This window comes from Homo sapiens, chromosome 9 (assembly GCF_000001405.40).
Source record: "Homo sapiens chromosome 9, GRCh38.p14 Primary Assembly".
Taxonomy (NCBI): Eukaryota; Metazoa; Chordata; class Mammalia; order Primates; family Hominidae; genus Homo; species Homo sapiens.
The window spans coordinates 124,384,594-124,407,076 of NC_000009.12; the positions used below are offsets into that span (position 1 = coordinate 124,384,594).

Consider the following 22,483-nt stretch of genomic DNA (forward strand, 5'->3'; position numbering starts at 1 on the left):
ATACCTCCATGTCTGGCCTAAACTTATCTTCAAATACAGCCATTGCTGCCAAGGAGCCAGAACCTGCAAGAAAAAGGTGCACTTTTAGTGTATTTTATGATATCCCAGCTTATCCATCTCAAGTTTACCTAGGGGCAAGAAAAACAGCAAAACATGCCCAGTGTCTCATTCAAGTACAGTGTAAATATTAATTCTACAGGGCCACATAAACCAGGTAAAAACAGTGCTCTTCAAAAGCCTGGAGTCACACTTACCACTATCTAAGGTAAATCTGCAACTGGTCCTACTTCCACCACTGACAGGTATAATTGTAAATTATTCACAATAAAATGCTGAAGCATGAAAATGAGGTTATGGAGAATTTGGATTTTGTTCAAACAGTGACTGCCACATAATTTCCCGTGTTCTATGCTGTGAGTCTAGTGCTCCATATTGTGCCTTGGCAGGCTGCTGGGTATAGCGCTAAATACCAAGCCAGTTCCAAAGAAAAGATTGTTTTAATGAGCTGGCCCTGGTAGAGTCACCTTGACACGCAGGGAAGAAACTACCGCACCAGCAATGGTAATAGGACTGCGAGCAGCAGCCACCAGGTTATTCCAGCTACAACTGTAAAACACTTTATTATGTGGCATTTATTTGGAGCTATTATTTTTAGTTTGTACTTTGAAGAGTAACAGCTGAATAGACAAAATGACAGACAAAGAAACAAAAATTTATTATCACAATAGCAAATGGCTGAAAGGTTATGCTGCATAGGTATTAACGGATAGCAAATTTATCCCTACAAAAGTAGGACGTAAAGCCATTACAAATAAGCGTGGGCTCCCTTTGAATGGATGCAAAAGGCAGCTAAGCACTCCTTGAAAATTTAAATTTGCTTTGTTCAAAAACCAGAGAATCTTTAGAAAATCATCATCTTGTCTTTACAGGTCCTGGCAATATTTCAGGATACTCCACTTTTGGAGAGAGGATAGAGTTGCCCACAATTTTTTACTCCAATTAGAAGATTTTTTTGGCATTTATTACTTTTTAACTTGTTTTGCATAACACTATCTATTTAGCTGGGTCACAGAGAAAACCATATTTTCTATTTAAAATGATTTGTGTACATCGCTTGACCACCTCAATGGTTTAGCAAAGGAAAAAGGCAGCGATTAAACAGTTTCAAATGAGGTGTCCTGCTGATTTTATCAAGTCTGCTGAATGTATAATGAAAAAGGAGAAGCTGACAGCAACGCCGCATTGAGAAAATACAGACTACCTTATCTGAACCATTTAAGGAGGTCCAATTATAGATCAAATTTAAAGGGTAGAAACAGCAGATTTACAGACACAAATCAATGAACATGGTAATCCCGATGAATATGACAGATACTCCTGTTAGGGAATATTGCTGCGGTTGAGGATCATTACCTTCACAGTACCGGATACATCACATCTAAAGCCATAGGAAGCGTCAAGTGTAAACCAGCATTACAAGCAATGACTATTCATTTAGGCTTTGGGAGCAAAAGGCAACCCGATTTTCCCCTCCTCACAATTTTTTTCTCCTTAAAAAAAAAAAAAAAACTAAAATGGTGATCTAAAGGGACATTAAAAGCCCTCTGAAAAGGAGATAGAAATTAAACAGATATAAAACTAGTAAACTCAGATAAAACTAGCACATATGTGAGAGCAAATTCAGCAAAACAAACCTCTGAATTTCAAAGTAAACATGTCCTTGAAGATGTGGAAACAGGGTCAAACTCCACCAATGTTCTGTGAGTCACATATTTACTCTGAGATTCAGGGGTCAAGGGGGAAAGTTAACCTAAGTTGCTGTTTTCAGGCCCAGGTGAGAACCAGTCTCAGACTTACTAGTAAAAGCAAGCTGGTTTTGTGTGGAAAGCGAAAGACAGCTGCCATGAACGAACGAGGCAACTGCAAATGAAGAATCTCAGGAAAAAATACTCCCAGATATAGACCAATCCTGCACAGCACTGATGAGCAGACTGGTCTCTTCCAACAAAGTCCAAGAATATCTCCACGAAGAACACAAGGGTAATCAACCAGAGGCCAGAAATAAACATTTAAAAAAGGACAGGGAGAAGACAGGTATTTAGCTAGGAGCTAACAACTTGTGGAAAACTGTAATGAATTGTTAAAAAAGAAAAACAAGCTTACCTTAAAGGCATTTTTCCTTAAAAATCACTAGCTGTTTTTTCCTCCGGGGCCATTCCTTTCCTTGGCAGTTGCACAGTAAATTTTTTTTTTTTTGCTCTATTCTTTTTCCTAGGCACATATATTTCCTTCTGCTCAGCTTCACTCAATAATTTAAGAAATGAAAAATATTTCCCTCCCCAAATAATTATTTCTTTAAAACCTTTTTCCTGGCCGGGCGCGGTGGCTCACGCCTGTAATCCCAGAACTTTGGGAGGCCGAGGTGGGCGGATCACAAGGTGAGGAGATTGAGACCATCCTGGCTAGCACAGTGAAACCCTGTCTCTACTAAAAATACAAAACATTAGCCGAGCATGGTGGTGGGCGCCTGTAGTCCCAGCTACGCAGGAGGCTGAGGCAGGAGAATGGCATGAACCCGGGAGGCAGAGTTTGCAGTGAGCCCAGATCGCGCAACTGCACTCCAGCCTGGGCGACAGAGCAAGACTCTGTCTCAAACAAAAAAACAAACAAACAAAAAACCTTTTTCCTGCCTAGAAACAATATTACAGACAAAATTTCTATAAGTGGAAATAACACACTAAACCCACAGACTCTTGGAACAAAAGAGTTTCTCCAATGTGGGGAGGCTCTCTACATTATCAGACAGGCATATAAGACAAGTAAACATAGGACTTGGGGCTTTTACTACACTGTATTTCTGGCTTCCCCTTTTTATACCTCAAAAAATACATACATACACACACACACACTCTCTCTCTCGAGAAATTTTCTGAAAAGCAGGAGCTTCCCAACCTGATTCTGCTTCCCATGAAATCAAAGACAAGAGGGCCCCAAAATAAACTTGAAAAGAAAGGGAAATTCAACATTAAAAATAATTTCTAAATCACTTGCAAATTAGCTCCTGCTCCCAGCTTTTCAGGAAAGGAGGACTTTGGCGCCCCCTTTTCAGAAATACACAGAAGTGTTTGGAGATAGAAAACCTGTCAACAGGTTTGTAGATACCTCTGAATGTGTGTCTGCCATTTAGAAAACTGGGGTGAGAATTTCAAATACAGCTGCAATTGCCTGAAGTGACAAGAGAACATAATTTCAAGGCAATGCAGTGGGGGACACAAGGAACAAGAAGTTGGCCATTTAAAAAAAAAAAAAAAGATGGTAAACTCAGGCCAGTATTCTTTAAAGATAATTTCATTCAAGTTTCCTAGATACTGGTCCAACATCCAAAACTACATACAATAAATCACCAGTCAAATGCCATTCTACTACAGCCACCATGTGACCTGTAAAACATTAATATATTACATCCTCTTTTCCCTATAAACCACTAATAATGCCCTGAGACATTCTGTTATTTCAGCATCAACTACCTAAGCTGGCACTCTCTTCATACACAAAACCAAGGCGAAAATCTTTTGAAGGATCATTTGCTCTGATTTTTTATTCCAAAAGCAGAGACATCTTAGACATCAGAACTGTCTGGTTTCCCATTAAAGAACAGATACACAGAAAAGCCAGGGGACAGCGTGGCCAGGACTGGGCCTCTGCTGTACACTCGAGTATGCCAGTGAAGGAAAGGCAGGTCAGAGAGGACGTGCCCTCCACAAATGCAGGCTATGCTCCATGAGCAAGGGTGAGGCCTCAGAGAACTTACTCCAGTCAGGAGGAGAAGGAAGCCAAAGAGAAGAACAAGGGCCTTCTGCTAAGCACCCGCCAGGTGCCATGCGGCCTATTTTAGGTCATTTCATCATCCTCATAGCAACCCACTAATGTGAGAAAGCTCCTTGTCTAGGACTACAGGAAACAAGCACAGGGGTGGGATTCCTGTCTCAGCTGTTGACCCTATGTCGCGCTCTCATACAAAAAGTCCTATATGCTACAATACAGTTGAGAGAGGACACGCAAGACCTTCCATGACCAGGTTTCTACCTCCTTCGGCTCCCTCCCATCCCCCATACACACCCCTGATACTCCACCAACACCACGCTGCCCATGATTTCCTAAATGCCCGTGCCAGTTCAAGCCTATCTCACAGAGCACATGGCAGTCCACAGAACTCCCAGTCACCCTTCAAACTCCAGCTGAGAGATCACTTCTTCCTAGAACCCTTCCTTGGTCACTCCCCTCCACAGGGTTTATCACTCTCATCTCTGCAACTTGTCCATCCTTTCATATCTGCAGCCTCCATCCCCAACAGTCTCTGACACATGGCAGCATTAGGAGAGACGCTTATTGAATGAAGCTGCACTAAAAGTGAGGCCAACTACCCAAATGAGGGAGCCAAAAAAAACTCTAAGCTGCCCCTGAAGGTGTGAGGATAGCAGTAAATGCCTGGATAAGGTGTAAAGCAATATTTATCGCCTAGTTTACCATACTAGGCTGAATATAAGACAAACTCAAGTGTAGAGCCAGTTCAATTTTCAAAAAGGAAAAAGGGCCTTAAAAACCACAAAACCAAGTCCTGTTATATGTCCTAGTCCAGTCCAAACCACTGTGATATCACAGGAGTGAATGGCCTTTCCTGGATTTCTGCACTATATTAATACTACTGACGCTCTCGGTCTCATCAGTAGTTTCCATGAAGCTGCTCCTTAGCAACCTTCCCCAAGCCTGCCTTTCAGCACACCCACGGTTACTGAGTACCCAGTACTGCTTCCAGAACAAAGCTCTTTAAAACAGAAAAACAAGGTGCAATTCAGTGACCAGCACTTAGGTGAATGTAAGTGAGGACACTATGATGGCTACCTAGTCCCCTCAGACTGACCTCCTGCATCCACTGCCCTCCCCCAAGCCCACCTACACACCCTGTTCAACACCCGCCACCCCAACCCACCAAGAAGCCGGGCTGTGGAGAGACAGGGAGGCAGGGAGGACAAATGTCTCTTTCCCTTTCACCTGCAGGGCACTCCCCCATCCACTGCAGACACTCCACAGCTGCTCCAGCTAGGTCCTCATTCAAAGCTCCTCCTGCAACCAATGCCCTGTGGAGTCCTGGAAAGAGCACCTGGCCTGCTTCCCAGCTCTGTCAGGGCCGGACTCACCCACAGACCCTCTTGTCACCCACATCTGCTGCGCCCCAGGAGAAGGAGTCCCAAGCACCAGTTCCACAAGGACCACACCTCCAGCCAGTCTGTTACAATGAAACATCTTATAATAGCAGGCCCACTAGCTTATAAACAAAATTACTAGCTCCTTTAAGAATGTAAAATAAAAGCCCTGAAACTCCGAAAAATACATGCAACATGCAGAACATTAATAACTAAAAAGAGCTCACAGATAACTACATCAAGACTCCAAGAGAGAAGACAGTAGTTTACGAAAGAGAAAAGGTAGAGGCCTATATACATTAAGCAACACTGATCAAGTTCACTAGCAATCAAAGAAATATGAATTGAAGTAAAATAACTACCTTTTGCCTTTTTAATTAGCAAAGATTAAAAAGAATAATAGTGCTGACAAAGGTGTGATCAAATGGGTACTTTGACACACTTGGAGAAGCAGAAATGGATAGAACTCTTCTAATGGGCAATGTAGAAACATCGATTGGAAATCATACAGCTATACATACCCACCAAACCAGCAAATCTCTTAGGGACTTATTCTAAAGAAACACATGGACAAGTACCCAAGTCACGTATCTTAAAAGATCATTGTTTAGATTAAAGGGGAAAAAAAAAATACCTGGAAGTAAATGTAAAGGTTCAACAATCAGGAGCCAGGGAAAATAAACAATAAAATACTATACACACAGACATTAAACATGACAAAGTAGAAGTACATTTTTTTGGCAATGGGAAGAGATCCATGCTATAGTATTTAGTGGGGGAAAAACATGTTCTAAAGCAAAATTAACAGACATGCTTATGCACTATATATTATACAAACCTGGAAGCATATAAATCAAAATATTAAGCTTATTTCTGGGTGGTGCTATTTTCTTTTTACTTGTATTTTTAAATTTTTCTTCAAAGTGCAGGCATTAATAGCAATTTTTTAAGGTATAAAAAATTGAAGAAAATCCAACATTGTGAGGGGATGGAAAAAACAAGCAAAAGACCAAGACTTTGCTAGCTGTCACAGTCTCCGTGTAACAGCAGCAGCAGGCAGCTTATTCCTTACATTTGTATACAAGGGCCTAAAGGTCAATCCATGCATGAGTCAACAGACCCAAAGAACAACAGCAATCAATCATCACAAACAAATACACCATGTCTCTCCTGCCTAACGTCCTTAGGAGGGCTTCCTTAGGACCGTCTTAGAGGTACAATCATCTTAATAATGAAGTCCTCTGAGCGTTTCAGCATGGGGCTAGACCCCACTTATCCAGAAGTGTACTCTTGGCAAACACAGCACTGAACAAACTACAACAGATGCACACGGTACTTAAGAACTTTCACAGCACAGTCACATCAGTTTTGTTTGCTCTTCAGGCATGGCAAGTAGTAGTAGTCCCATTTTACAAAAGGAGAATAAAGCTCAAAGATAAGGAACGTGCCCAGATCACACAGCCAGTGATAAGCAAATCTGGGATTCTGAAGCCAGATCTTTCTGAATTTAAAGTGTGCGATGTTCTTTCCATTCCACCACGTTTGCCTCTTAAATAGCAAAGCCAAATGCTTGAAATCAAGATTAGCAAGTAAGCCTGGGAGATGGAGCTATCTTTTCTTAGCTCCCCACCCCAAAAAAGCATGCTTTCAAACTTGCTTCTTCTTTAGATTTCAGCTCGATTACCACACACATCTGGATATAGTTAATTTGTGTTGTTTTGCTTGGAAATTCAAATGAGACTGGAATTTAGTTAAATGTTTTAAATGATTAAACATATGCCATTCACTGTTTAGCAATGCCACTCAAGTATCTGTTATAACAGCATTTATTTTAAAATAGTCTCATTCAAAAAAAAAAAAAAACCTAAAATTAGTCTCCATTTTCTAAAACCTCTGAAGGTGTTTCGATCTTAGCTTACCAGGATTAGTAACTCACTTTGAAACTAACTTTTTCTGAGCGAACAATCCAATTCAGGATGAAATCTGAAATTTTACAATCTAGATATTGCTTTTACTTGTTCTGTACATTTAAATGTGTTATTTTTCTATGTCAGAGTTCACTAAAATACTCAACAAACTTAGCAATTCTATAATCTATGTTATTAGATATGCTAAAGAAACAGTAAAAGACTGAAATAATTTCCTAAAACCTGCTGCTTCTAAGTCAAAAGCTAGGAAGGACCTGAAAGGTAGAAATTTGCTTTTTCTAATAAGGTGCTCACTAACTCTCAAACTGGGGAAGGGGAAAACATTCATTGACGGTCTTAGGTCCTGGACCCTGAACTCAAGTACTGGGAGTATTTGGCCCTTTTACAGACAAGGAAATTGAGACTCAACTGGTTCCAAATAGTTTGCCCATGGCAAGAGTCAATGAGAAGCGGAGCCAAGCTTTAAACCTAGGTCCTATTCTGAAGCATGGGTTCTCAAGCTCATGCACCCTTCAGAAGGGCAACTTCCCACTCTTTCTTCAAACAACCCATTCCCAGGTGCCCACGCAGGAGCAGCAGGCTCTGGGAACACCAAGAGGCACAAGAGGTGGCCCGGCTCTGGCGCTCCCTAGCTGGGCATATCACTCCGAGCTCTGCAAAGCTGCCAAAGTTGCTCCAGGAGGCACAAGCAACTGCATCAAGCACAGCGTGAATGATGCAACCGGAAACCGAGGGGCACAGCAGCCCTACTGAACTAGGTTCCTTCCCCGCACAAGAGGGCAGGGGACAGGAGGTGCCTTCCTCAAAGGGTGGCTCTGAGGGTTACACAAGATGGCACGTGTAAAGCAAAATGCTGGGGACACTAAAAGTTCAAGAAAAGCTGGCTGATGAAATTCCTCTCCGACAAGCTCCTGGTCCTCCAGGCAGCTATTTTATACAATCACTCTCAGCAAGTCCCAGGGTTGGCAGCTTTCATGGAAATAGAGGTCTTCAGAATTTCTTTCTCAAAGTCATGAAGTTATGAGAGGCAGCAGGAAATGGATTTCTACTGCTTTTCCCCAAATCAATTTAACCAGATCGTCTCAGGAAAAAAAGCTGCTCCTTCTGCTAAAGAGCGGTCCATTTTAAGCAGCCAAGGACCTGTTTGCCACCATGGCCTGCCAAGGTGTAAGATGTATGCGGCGATAACAGAGTCACACACAGGACTTTCTAATCCATCAGTGTCAGCTCTCCCTGACAGAGCGCTTACTCACACTTGCTCATTGTTAGTCAACTGGCCACTCATCCTGGGTAAAATTTGGTGCTTTCCACAGACCCACAGACTGGGATCATTTTTCACTCCATTCCTGCCTCCAAGGCCTCATCTCCTAGTACTGGTGCTTGCTCTGGAGGCCAACAATGCCAATGTGTGCAGAGCTGATTGATGAATATAAAATAAGGCGGGCACCAGGGGACCATATCCAGCCACTAGAGAGCAGTGGAGCACCTCTCACTGCTCGGTAAAACAGACGCAGGCTTTAAATGGTTTAATTGTATGCATGCATTTCATTATAAGTCCTGGCCAAAAGCTTCCCGGCGAGGCAAGCCAAGCAATCAGACAATCTTGCATCGCTTGCTGAAATCCAGATTTGTCCTTTGTCAGCATAAACAGTTTAATTTGATGTTTTCACTCCTGAGTAAGCACTGAGTATTACATTTAAACCCCTCATGAGGGAGAAGAATGCTTCCTTTTCATCAGCAAATGTACCTCAATGTCAAAGTCTACCTTTTATTCCCAATGAATTTAAAAAAGTATTCCATTTAATTTGCTAAAAATATTTGTAAGGCATCCAACAATTTCACTCAAAAGCTAATTCCTCAAAAAACGGAGTTCCTTTTCTAAATGTAATATAGTCAAAGAGGAGTTACATTTTACCCTAATAATTTAAAACACCACTTGAAGGGAAAAGGGATTTTTCTTATAATTGCAACTGCAACATCTCATTGACCTGACAGGTTATAAACACTTATTCTTCAGAAAAGACTAACAATCACGGCATCAGGGCCTAAAATGTGAGAGGTTTTATTTCATTAATGCATTTTAATGAAATGTCACAAGATATGGAGAGAGAACATTTTTTCCTTAAAACATAGGTGTCACCTACCCCTGTTTAGAGGACAAAATGGAGGACGAAAATGACCCTAAAATGCACCTATCTTAATCAGTCCCCTGCACCACGAGGCCACACCGGGAAACCGAAGCTGAGTGCAAGGCATACACCCTGCCCTGCTGCCGCAGGAACGCAGGGCAGTGGGAGCTGGCAAGTCTCTTAAAGGTCCCCTTTACTCAGGTCCATATTTCAAAATAACTTCCCAAACTTCAGGGCATTCCACTTTAATTGATGGACTAGACAGTATTATTTTCATTGTATGGATGGAAGAAGCTAAAGTTCACAGAAAGGAAGGAGGCTACCCAAAGTCATGCAGCCAGGAATGGCAGCATGGGTACATGAACTCAGATCTGGTTAACAGCAAATCCCTCATTCTGTGAACTACACAGTGAAAAGCCTTCTGATGGCTAAGATGACTTTCCACGTAGTCTGACCAATGAGGAAGTAAAAGGCATCAAGCACTAGGTCATAAGCATATAAAGGCACTTTCCTTTAGCAGGGGCGACTCTGGTCCAATTCTGAAACAAGAGCAGATAAAGATGAGCTGGTTAACCTCACTCTCTCTCAGTGGGGTTTAAAGCAAAGAACTTTAAACTGAGCATTTCCTTTAACTGTTCTGAAAAGTGCTCTGGCAAGGGCTTTTACTTGGTTGTAGGCTGAGGACAATTCAAATCAGGAGACTTTGTGGTAAAATGTCAGAGCAGGGAAAAAAGGAGGAAGAGCACCCATACATTAATTCAATACCTCACCATTTTGTCTATAAAAGGTGTTTAATATTTTTTTACACAGAATCAAGAACAAAATCCAATCTAATTAGAATAAATTAAGAACTGGCAAGGGCTGACTATATTACATTTCCTGTAACAATATGAATTTTAGAAGTAAGTATTTTCTCATTTCCTGATATCACGGCACCATCTATTGGCTTAGTACCACCTTTGCAGCAACCAAGAAACAAGATGCATTCATTCAACTTTCACGGGCTTTTGGTTCCCAGCTGTTTTATTCCTGGCACTCCACCGCAACATAATTTTAAGATATAAAATCCATTCACTGCACATTTTAAATCTTCTAAAATGCATCTTATATTAATCAAAGCAGGAAAAAGTGCCAGAGAAATCTTGACACAGAGAGCTACACACAGAAAAATGTATTGACACTAAAACTATCAAAATACTATGCACCAAACATCTACTACATGCTACATACAAAAGACTTTTATGTTTGGTATCTCACTTCATGCTCACACATGAAGTAAGCATTACAGAAGAAATCAATGTTCACAGTCAAACAGCTAAATGAATGTTAGACTTAAGATATGAACCCAGGCTAAGCATAGTGGCTCATGCCTATAATCCCAGCACTCTGGGAAGCCAAGGCAGGAGGATCACTTAAGACCAGAAGTTCCAGACCAGCCCGAAAAACACAGTGAGACCCCGTCTCTACCAAAAAAAGAAAGAAATTAAAAAAAAAAAAATCAGTAGTGGTGTGCCCATAGTCCCAACTACTTGGGAGGCAGAGGTAGGAGGATCACTTGAGCTCAGGAGTTTGAGGGTACAATGAGCTATAATCACACCACTGCATTTCAGCCTGGCGACAGAGCAAGACCCCGCCCCTAAAAAATAAAAACAAATAAGTTAATTATTATTTTTTAAAAAGATCTGAACCCTATTTGACTTCAAAAACCAGTTTTCATGCAGCCACACTGCCTCAAAAAATGGCCAAAAGCAACATATCCACATAAAAAGCACACAGTGATGTACAGAGCGTGCACACATAAAACGCGACGCTTCAGCACCCCAATAACCCTGTGACCTTCCCAAGTCAAAAAAAGTAGCTTCATTTTAGAAATAGGGGTTATGAGGTTCCAGAGGTTAGGTGACTAGGCTCTCTGGTCAAGCAGAGCTGGGACCAAAGCAAGGGCTTCCACCTCTTTTTCTAGAATCCTAAGTGATACTTCATTCAGGGGTTTTCAGAAAAGGCAGTCACTGGCTGTGTGGACAAAGCTCCTGCTGGAATAGGGTCTCCTACACCAGCACAGCTCCTCCCTTGCCCAGCCCCTGGCCCACGGAGAGCAGGGACACAGGGGCAATCCAGTTCCTATGGAGACACATGCTTCTAAAGCCTCTTATACACAGTCAACCACATGGCTGACCCCAGAGCAGGCAGAAGAATTTCCAGCAACACACGGCTATGAAGTCCATATATACGTGCCCTCTGAGGTTTTTATGAAGTAAACATGCTGCTAAATTTGCACCCAATTTAACAGTTGAAAATGAATATAGACGAAACATTTGCCATCTTAAAGTGCACTAATTTGATCCTGTGCAGGACAACTTTCAAAATCAAGTCATGTGGAGGTATCAAAATATCTATACAAAGGTTGTACTTGAGTATAAAAATACAGAAAAGGTTGTACTTTAGCATAAAAATACAGAAAAGGTTGTACTTTAGTGTAAAAATACAGAAAAGGCTGTACTTTAGCGTAACGATGGCAAATCTGAACTCCCTATCCATGTTCCTAAGTTCTCACTTAATTGTAAGATTCTTCTGCCCACAAGGTGAGACATCCAGCATGCTTACTACTCTGTCCCACATCTTTCTCACTGCTCAGAGGCCCTGTAAACTGGGACTTAGTAGGTGCATTCCAGTAATTAGGAAACTGTATAACCAGTTTATCTGGAGAGAGAATTCTACCTGGATGGCCCTGGCAGTGACCCCAAGTCTTTCCTAATGGTGCATAGCAATGTTTATTCCTTAAGTCAGTATTCCTAAATTGTCCAAGGACCTCATTTTCAGGAATGTCATGCTTGAAATTTTATTCATGTTAATTCTCTATGTGGATAAGCAGGCAAAAACAAAAATTTTATATACCTTGCCAATGCTGCTACAAGGAACACTGCCAAGCTAATAGCAAAAGATGGTCCCCAAGCTTCTTCTGACACTACTTCAGCTTGCCTAATAAAGAAAAGCTGGCAAGTTCAAAGAATAAGCTAATTAATCTGAGAATTAAAAGAACCCACATTATGTCTATAAAAACATAACTAAAATGCTTTCCCTTTCCTAATAAAGTCAAAAAATCTTGCCTAGCTTTTAACAATCAAATGAATCGATCACCAGTAGCCTCTTCCAAATTACTCTCTTAAAAAAGAAGTAAATGAAACCGACGGGATCCTTTTTCTTTTTGGAGAATAAGCCACATGCCATGTACCAACAGGAAAAAGTCAGAAACTGAGGTTCCCATTCTCACTCACATACTTCCTTACTTGTGGTTCAAGTAACCTCTCTGAGCCTCAGTTTCCTCATCTTTAAGACAGGGATGATGGCACCCACCTCACAGTGGTGCAAAGATTGTATCAGTAAAGCATCCCACAACAGGTGTAGGTGCTACAGCTGGATGAACGCTGCTCTCATTGTAGTCAATGTGATGTTCACAAAGAAGGTTTTAGGGCAGAAACTGTCCAGGGGCCACACCACCAGGAGTCTGATATATTAGTCTCCCAAATAAACTCTCAGGAAGGCCAGTCCTCAGAGAGTCCTGCTCCTGGACCCAGCGCTCAATGCAGATCAGCTGTGCCTCAAGTTAAAGATGCGCAAGACAAGACAGGTGTCTTCTATTCAATGTAAATTAAGAGCAGCCTTCAGGCGCCTGGCTAGTAGCCAATACAGGCCCATGGGTAGACAAAATTTAGACACCCTTGTCTTCTGGTTAATTTATAGCTTCCAGCTCTTACTGTCAAATCACTCAGAAAAAAGAAAAAAAAAGATTAATTACAAAGTTTTGCTTTTATTCTTCATAATAAAAAACTCACAATCTAACTAAAACATGAGAATTCAGATGAAATATTCATTTTCTCACTTAAGCTACAATTACAGAAAGCCTTGATTCCACAGTGAATGCTAATGTTCCATGGAGGCATTTCATTTAGGAGGACCTTCTATTTTATCTGGAGTGTGAGGTTTGGTTTGTAGCTCACTCAAAATAATAAGCATGAGTTAAAACAAAATCCAGCCAGGCACAGTGGCTCATGCCTGTAATCCCAGCACTTTGGGAGGCCGAGGCGGGTGGATCACTTGAGATCAGGAGTTCAAGACCAGCCTGGCCAACACGGTGAAACCCCGTCTCTACTAAAAATACAAAAATTAGCAGGGCGTGGCTAATTATAGGCACACGCCTGTAATCCCAGCTACTTGGGAGGCGGAGGCAGGATCACTTGAACCCAGGAGGTGGAGGCTGCAGTGAGCCAAAATCGAGCCACTTAACTCCAGCCTGGGCAACAGAGTGAGACTCCATCTCAAAAAAAAAAAAACCACCAAATTTTAGCAATTCTGAGTTCTCTCTCAATACCCAACTCCTCACTCCCTCGAAAGGAAAGGGTAAAGAAGGCAGGGAGGGGAGGGGTGAAAGAAGGTTAGGGAAAGAAAAAAGAGACAAAACAACAAAAATCAAACTCAGATTAGGAAGAAAGCCAGCCCTGCACAGCTACGACCACGGAACAATGGCTGAAAGAAACTAAGAGAGCCACAGAGACAAAGCCCAGGCGAGTACAAAACCGTGATCTTACATTCTCTGTAAAGAGCTCCTCTTCACAATGGACTTGGATTGGAAAGAAACAAAAAGTAAAAATCACGTTGTTTTTGGGTAGTAAAATTGTGGAGATATATATGCATATATATAGTTTAATTTCCTTTGCTGCAATAAGGCTGTTTCAGTAAATACTGTTTTCAACATGCAGGACAGAGAACCTATGCAGAGAACAGTCAAAAATACAAAATCCAGTAAGTGCCCTTCGGGAATCTGTATAAATATTTTTAGTATTCAGAAGCAAGGCTTAATAGCTAAGTGAAATCACATCTGTAGGATGATAAAATCACAGCAGCTGTGTTGTACTGGGGCTTGCCAGAGATGGAAGACAAGGGTTCAAATCCCAGCTTTGTCACTTATGGGGCTGAGTGACACTAGGTAAGTTGCTAAATCTCTCTAACTTTCAGGTTTCTCGTCAGTAAAATAGCAATAATAGCATCCCTTACACTGAATTTTAACTGAAAATAATGTGCCAGCACCCAGCAGACTCTGGCACAGAGACATTCCCATAAATATGCTTTAAATTCAAAATAATACTAAGCTTTAACCAAAAAAAAAAAAAAAAAAGTAAAAGGACCTGTCACATTTACAACACTTTACAGCTAAACTGGGACCACACAAATGGAACACAATCTAAACCAACTGCATTCCAGGGGTGCTGCAAACTGCTAGTTCACAAACAATGAACAGCGGCTAAGGTTTCTAACACTAAGTTTCAGACATTCTTTAGCACAAACAAGTTGGAGAATCAGAAAATTAATTCACCATCAAATATTCACTGAGTTGCACAGGGCTCCGTGAGACCCTGAGAGTGAGGCACAGAAGCTGCTCTCAGAGGTCTAGAATTGTGCAGGGGCAGGAGGGACAATGCCTAGGGGAAGCAAAGTGGGGCCAAGGCGGGAGTCCTGGGATCCTGCTTCACTCCTGGCAGGGACTTGCTAACTCCGCCAGGGGCAGCCAGGAGGGAATGGCTTCTGGGCCACACTCAGGATGAGGAGGAGGAACACTCCAGGCAGAAAATGTGTTTCTGAAAGGAGGCAGCAACAGCTGTTAGGCTCTCTTCAGAGGAGGGCGAGGGGGCTGCTGCCACTGAAGCCCAGGGCACAAGGGAAGGAAGAACAGGAAATGAGATGAGAAAAAGGGCCTAGAGCCCAACTGAAAAGGGAGATGGCCCCAAATGAAGGCGTGACTGCAACACTGCAGCCAAGAGCCGCAAGGAGCTGGCGCTGAGGAACGCCAGGAGAGAATGACGACAGAAACCCAGGATGTGGCCCAGGGGTTAGCTGCTGTCTGAGAGGTCTCTGTAATGACAGTGGCCATCCCTACCGCCACCACCACTGGATTCGTCCTCACCCTCAACATTTCTGGCCAGGATGCAAGCTCCCTCCCTGCCCCAGGCCTCTCACGCCACTGCTCCCCACAGCTGTCAGCTGCTCCTTCTAACAAGCGAACCTAATCCTCTCATTCCCTGGCTTGAAAGAGCAGGAGACCTCCAGGACAAAATCAAAACAGCTCTGCCTGCAGCGTCTGGACCCCCGAGGCCTGCTTTCCAGCCTTGCCTCTGCTCCAAACTCCCAACATCCATCCCTCTTCCACCCTCCCCATCTTTGCTTCTGCTGCACCCCCTGCATGGGTCCCTTGCCCCACCCCCACTCACTGCTCCTGCCGCACCCATGCAGCAAACTCTGGCCTTTCAGTGCTTAACCACACGGAGCCCTTGTGCACCACAGGCCTGAGGTCTATCCCTCGGGGGTAAGGGGTGCATTGCAAATTCCTACTCATCCCTCAGGCGTTTAAGTGTTCTTTCTTCCCACTTTCACCCATCAGACTGGCAAAAATACTCAGCATCCGTGAGGTGGTGGGAGACAAGCGTCCTTGTATTCTCTAGTGGGAGTATAAACTCGTGCCAGCTTTTTGGACAGCAATTTGGCAATAGCTCTCAAAAGGTAAAATGCACTGTCCCTTTTCTGGGCTGCCCAGCAGCTGTATTTCCTGCCTCTGTCCGGAGAATTCCACTGCCATCTGAGCTGAGGCTGAGCTTCACCAATCAGAAGCACCCACCTTCCCCATGAGGAACTCTCTGGTGGTGGAAGGGATGGCAGGAAGGCTCAGTTCTGTGGCAGCCAGGGTCCGGCACCAGCTGTGCCCGCAGCATAGACTGAGACACTGTTCTTGGCCCCAAACCCAGTTCTTGCCCTCCCAACTACATTGTGAGCCACCTGCTATACTTTTCTCAAAAATCCCTCTCTTCCTTAAATCATCCAGTGACTCAACTGCTTGCAACAGAGAATTCTGGCCGAAACGTGTACACCTTAATCCAGAAATTCCACTGCTAAGAATTTATCTAAATGAAGTACGTATTTATACAAGTAGACCAAGACACATTTGTTACCAAAATATGAAAAACAAGATGTTCATCAGAAGAAGAATGGGTCAGCAAGCATGGTGTAGCCACATAATACAATTCTGTACAGCTTGCTATTATTACAGAAATTCTATAGGCCCACGTAAGCTGATATAAACACTTCTTCAAAACGAGTTAATAGTAAGGGAAGAATATTATGTATAGCATGAGCTCATTTGTGTGTTTTTTTTAAAGGGGTAACTAGATGACAGAGAAGGAGATACGTGAAAGTTTATCATAACACATTTTCTGGAAAAAAATACAAACAATTCTTAACAGTGGTTACTCTGGAGGGATGTGAAGGAGACTTTTCTTATAGTTCTTTGTCCCACTTGAATGTTCTGTCATGTTCATAAATTATGTTCAGTAGAAAATGCTTGAATGTCACTTGCTCAGAAAGGACTACACAAACACCCACCAGCCACACACTCCTTCCTATTATCCTCTCTAATGACTGTTCTTTTCCTCTGGGGCACTTATCACAATGCATTCTTCTAGGTTCATGTGAATTTACCTGTCTAATACCTGTCTCCCTCACAAGACTATAGGCTCTGAGGCAGACGCTGTGTTAACCACTAATCTTCCCAGCTCCTAGCAAAGTGCTCCGCACTAGTGATGCTTAATACACATCAGACAAATGAATGAAGAGATCCAATCCTCCTTCTAAGACTCGGCTCAAGTGAAGTTCTTCCTGAATTATCCCAGCTTGGAAGTGACCTTTTCTCCCTTGGGTCCCCTCCTGCCCTCGTCAGTAGGTACATCTGTCTCCCCCATTAGACTGAGTATCTGAGGACAAAGACCCTGATATTCACTTCTATCTGTGCTGCCTGCTATAGTGCCTTTACACAGAAGGCACTCACTAAAGAGCTGATGAGGCCGGGTGCAGTGGCTCACACCTGTAATCCTAGCACTTTGGGAGGCAGAGGCCGGCAGATCACGAGGTCAGGAGTTCCGTATCAGCCTGGCCAACACAGTGAAATCCCCTCTCTACTAAAAATACAAAAATTAGCTGAGCATGGTGGTGCATGCCTATAGTCCCAGCTACTCGGGAGGCTGAGGCAGGAGAATCACTTGAACCCGGGAAGCAGGGGTTGCAGCGAGCAGAGATCATGCCACTGCACACCAGACCGGGTGACAGTGCGAGACTCAGTCTCAAAAAAAAAAAAAAGCTGATAAATGAGTGGAGGAACAAACAAGACCTCAAAGTAACAATTTACTTGGGTATTAAAATCAGATGTTACTGATGTCTCATTCTCCTTAATCTGGCATTTTAGGGCAGCAAAACCAGTCTGTGTGGAGTCAGTGGTTTCTAAATAGAATTATTCTATAAACTCAAGAGCTGTGGACCCATCACCCGGAACTCAAATGAGACTTGGACAGACAGGAGGTCACTCTTGGCCAGGAAAAAGCACAAAGTTGGGCGGCAGAAGTAAAATGGGCAGACACAAAGCTGTTTACCTACTCACTTTCAACAACTTTTCCTAATTCAGCTTTATGCTCATGACACAAATTACCACAGTTCACTGGCAAGAGAAACCAATTTTCCCATTTTACAAATGAAGCTGCTTTGTATCAATGTCAAACTTCTTAAATTTGATGACTTTATCAAGGTGACAGAAGAGAACATCTTGAAGGATTCAGAGGTGAAAGGCTGTGGTGCCTGCTATTTACCCTCAAATGGTTCCCCACGCACACGAAACAATGATAGGAATAACAATGTGTGTGTGAGAGGCAGAACACATGTGTCAAAATGCTAACAACTGACACATCTGAGTAAAGGACAGATCAGTGTTTGTTGAACGTTACTGTTACTTTTCTGCAAGTCTGAAATTTAAGTAAAAAAAAGAAAAAATAAAAACTACTTAATAGAAAAGGTTATTCCACCTTTACCACCATTTAAAGGTATCAGATGGGGAGAAATAAAAGCAATACTTTGATGGAGATACCTAATACCTTTGAATAAAGCAATTCAGAACAATTCTAAAATTACCATAAGTATCTTCATTTTAGAATAACTGCAAAGATTCATCCGTATGGTATCTGGGGATAAATCATTCTCCCCAACAAACAGTGAACATCTGTTATATAAAAACCTTGTAAGAGGCTAGATAACAACACAATGGCATAGCAAAGTCTCAAACTGGCAATTTCCAAACTACTCAAGGCAGCAGTTTTCCTAGATGTGGAGCCAAGACACCAAGACAGAAAATATTAAGAGGTAAATGACAGCTGGAAAAACACCAGCTACACGATACACACAACCTGTTCGAATTTCTGGACCTATGCAATTTGACCCAGAAGCAATAATGTAAATGTTAGAACTTGAAAATCCCAATTCTTCTAAATATAATTTTATCACTATTTTTTGCAGTCATTAAAAAAAAAAAAATTATCAGCCACCTGTAATCCCAGCACTTTGGGAGGCTGGAGCAGGCAGATCACCTGAGCCCAGGAGTTCGAGACCAACCTGGGCAACATGGCAAAATCCCATCTCTACAAAAAATACAAAAATTAGATGGGTGTGGCAGAATATGGCTGTAGTCACAGCTACTCAGGAGGCTGCGGTGGGTGGATCACCTGAGCCCGGGGAAGTCGAGGTGGCAGTGAGCTGTGATTGCACCACTGTACTCCAGCCTGTGCAGCAGAGTGAGAGCCTGTCAAAAAATCTCCTAATCTAGCAGCTAGAGCTAAAACATAAATGCAAAAAGCTGGTTAGCAAATGAGGAAGAGAGGGGGCAAAAAAATAACTACTATTTACAGGCCAGGCATTGGAGCACATGCTTTATATACGTTATTTCCAACCATTACAACTTGGTGTGGTAGGTATTACCAATACCACTTCACAGGTAAGGAAATTGAGGTTCAGATAGAAATCAAATACCCCAATCCCTCAGAGATTAAGTAGTAAAGAAGGACCACAATCACTCCTCTAGGTCAAAATGTACCTGCCAAGTTTCAATGTAAGGCTTCTACTCTAGAATTCTACTCAAATCTCACCTTCTTCATAAGACCTGTCCTGACATTTTTTTTTTTTTTTTTTTTAAACAGACAGGGTCTCACTCTGTTGCCCAAGATGTAGTACAATGGCTTGATCACAGCTCATTGCAACCTCAAACTCCTGGGCTCATACAATGCTTCTGCCTCAGGCTCCCAAGCAACTGGGACTACAGGCACACACCACCACACTCAGCTTATATATATATGTGGCACAGACCGGGTCTTGCTATGTTGCCTAGGCTGGTCTTAAACTCCTGGCCTCAAGCAACCCTCCCACCTCAGGCTCCTAAAGCACTAGATTACAGGCATGAGCCACCGTGCCTGGCCCTGATCTTTCTATTTAACACTGCCATCTGCCTCCACCCCAGCCCCTGCCCACAACTCCCAAGTCCCCTTATCATGTGTGAATTTAATTTTTTGTTTTATGATCATTGCAAATTCATATGCAGATGTAAAAAATAGAGCATTTCCATATGAAGTTGACTCAGTTTCTCTCAAAGATAGTATCTTGTGTAACTATAGTACAATATCATCTGTATTACTTTTTTTCTTAGTATCACTTTCTAATACAGGCTGAGTAGCCCTTATCCAAAATGCCAGGGACCAGAAGTGTTTCAGATTTCAGGTTTTGGAATATCTACATTATAACTCACCCAATTCAGCATCCCTAATCCAAAAATCCAGAATCAAAAATGCTCCAATGAGGCTGGGCAGAGTGGCTCATGCCTATAATCCATCCAAGCATTTTGGGAGGCCGAGGTGGGCAGATTACTTGAAGTCAGGAGTTTGACACCAGCCTGGCCAACATGGTGAAACCCCATCTCTACTAAAACTACAAAAAATTAGCCGGGCATGGTGGCGTGTGCCTATCACTCCAGCTACTTGGGAGGCTGAGGCAGAAGAATCACTTGAACCCGGGAGACAGAGGTTGCAGTGAGCCGAGATCATGCCACTGCACTCCAGCCTGGGCAACAGAGCAAAACTCCATCTCAAAAAAGAAAAAAATAATAAAAATAAAAATGTTACAATGAGTATCATGTTAGCACTCAAAAACTTTAGGATTTTGGAGCTTTTCAGATTTCAGACTATAAAAATATATTCATAATACACAGGTTGTATAACCTGTGTATATTTATATATATTTATAATACCTGTGTATTAATTTAGAATACCTGTGTATTATAAATATACTTCTCACAGTTGTTTATTGTCTATTTACCCTCACTAAAATACAAAATCCTCGAGAGCAGGAATCACTATCAGAATTGTGTTGACTGCTATATAGCAAGCACCTAGAACACGGCCTAATCTATAGTAGGAACTCAGTATATATTTGCTGAATGAATCAAAGCATTGTATTGCACCTCCTCTTCTAAGAGAAAACAGACCAGCTCTTCAAGAGACCATCGTGGTAAGTAAGAGTACTCTTAAACATCAGGAAAACGTTACACTCACCCATGGTGACATAAGGCAACTTATCAGTTGATCCATGAGGATAGATGCTGTAGAGGTGAGGTCCAGTAACATCTACTCCCCCTAAAACTAGGGCTGCACCAATGTAACCTTGATACCTGGTGATCAGAGTATGCATAAGAAAAAAAACATGAGTCCACAAAGCATCACTGTAACTTAGCCAAAAGTTGCATGAGAAGTCAGGTAACAAAAAGTTTTCCTTAAGACTGTTTCATTAAGGGGTTATTGTTTTGATGGGAACAAAAAAGGGAAGGGAACATTAGATGAACATCTACTGTCAGCCAGTATAAACTATAAATTATGTGAGGCACTCCACACACCTGATTTCAGCTCAGCCTCACAGCCCCCATTATTATTATTTTTTTGAGACAGGGTCTCACTCTGTCACCCAGGCTGCAGTACAGTGGTATTATCACGGCTCACTGCAGCCTCAACCTCCCCAGGCTCAAGCAATCCTCCCACCTCAGCCTCCTAAGTAGCTGGGACTACAGGTGTGCACCACCACACCTGGCTAATTTTTGTATTTTTTTTTGGAGAGATGGCGTCTCGCCAAATTGCCCAGGCTGGTCTCAAACTCCTGGACTCAAGCAATCCTCCCACCTTGGCCTCCCAAAGTGCTGGGATTACAGGTGTGAGCCACCACACCCAGCCCACAGTCCCCTTTAAAAGACAACATTATCATTCCCATTTTAGAAAAGAAAAAACCAACCCAGAGACATTAAGAACTTGCCCGGTCTCAGAACCAAATTGGACTGACTCCAAAGATTATCAGCACTTTTCCCATCACACCTCTCTGTGATCAGCACATAAGCTACCTCCACAGTTAACAATGAGGAGGTGCTAAGCTCAGCTGTTCCACTGTTCAAATTATCAACCTGGCCACAAAGGCCAGGCATGGTGGCTCACACCTATAATCCCAGCACTTTAGGAGGCTGAGGTGGGCAAATCACTTGAGTCCAGGAGTTCAAGACCAGCCTGGGCAATATGGCGAGACCCTGTCTACAAAAAATACAAAAAATTAGCAAGGCATGGTGGCATGTACCTGTAGTCCCAGATACTTGGGAGGCTAAGGTGAGAGGATCCCTTGAGCCTGGGAGGCAGAGGTTGCAGTGAGCCATGTACACGCCACTGCACTCCAGCCAGGACAGAGCAAGAGTTGTCTCAAAAAAAAAAAAAAAAAAAAAAAGTATCAACCTCACCACAGCCCAAACAGAAAAATGGCTCATGTCGAAACACCTCTGCCTTTGAATTAACCCATATTATAATTACATATATGAACTCGTATCAAAAAAAAAGTATTTCATCATTCAGGAAAGTGAATATTAAAATAACTCCATGATAGCCTAAGAAACCACTGCTACTACACATAGGATAAACTTACACTTCCTCAGGAACATCACAGGAATATATTTTCCACCCACACCATCTCCACTTAATTGTGCACATATTTGTTCCTTTGGACCCTTTTTTTCCATTTCTATAGATTCCTTTCCCTGTATTTGGTACAGCTTTTTAACATTAGGAGGCCAATGTTACTCCTAACGTGGGAGGCTGAGGCATGAGAATCGCTTGAACCTGGGTGGCCGAGGTTGCACTGAGCCGAGGTCGCATCACTGCACTCCAGCCTGGGCAACAGAGTGACACTTAGTCTCAAAAAATAAAAAATAAAAAAAATCAAAAGAAGAATTAGATCTACATTTGTCAACATAAATTGCTCTCAATTTATCTAGCTGTGCTAGATA

General features: G+C 42.4%; 1 protein-coding gene across 1 annotated transcript in view, besides 2 other annotated features; it reads right to left on the bottom strand.

Moving 5' to 3' along the window:
* PSMB7 (proteasome 20S subunit beta 7) overlaps positions 1-22,483 on the bottom strand; it is a 61,978-nt gene that overhangs the window by 31,129 nt on the left and 8,366 nt on the right. Inside the window, exons 5-6 of the mRNA NM_002799.4 lie at positions 20,724-20,839; positions 5-63 (exon numbers count right to left, since the gene is read on the bottom strand). Of these exons, the coding sequence (NP_002790.1) occupies positions 5-63; positions 20,724-20,839 (175 nt within the window). The remainder of the gene's footprint in view (positions 1-4; positions 64-20,723; positions 20,840-22,483) is intronic.
* Positions 15,357-15,900: an enhancer, noted in NCBI's record as "H3K27ac-H3K4me1 hESC enhancer chr9:127162229-127162772 (GRCh37/hg19 assembly coordinates)". NCBI's record gives its function as "activates a minimal SCP1, AML or CMV promoter by ChIP-STARR-seq in naive and primed H9 embryonic stem cells {active_cell/tissue: H9 hESC(naive and primed)}" and the evidence as "EXISTENCE:reporter gene assay evidence [ECO:0000049][PMID:30033119]".
* Positions 15,901-16,443: an enhancer, noted in NCBI's record as "H3K4me1 hESC enhancer chr9:127162773-127163315 (GRCh37/hg19 assembly coordinates)". NCBI's record gives its function as "activates a minimal SCP1, AML or CMV promoter by ChIP-STARR-seq in naive H9 embryonic stem cells {active_cell/tissue: H9 hESC(naive)}" and the evidence as "EXISTENCE:reporter gene assay evidence [ECO:0000049][PMID:30033119]".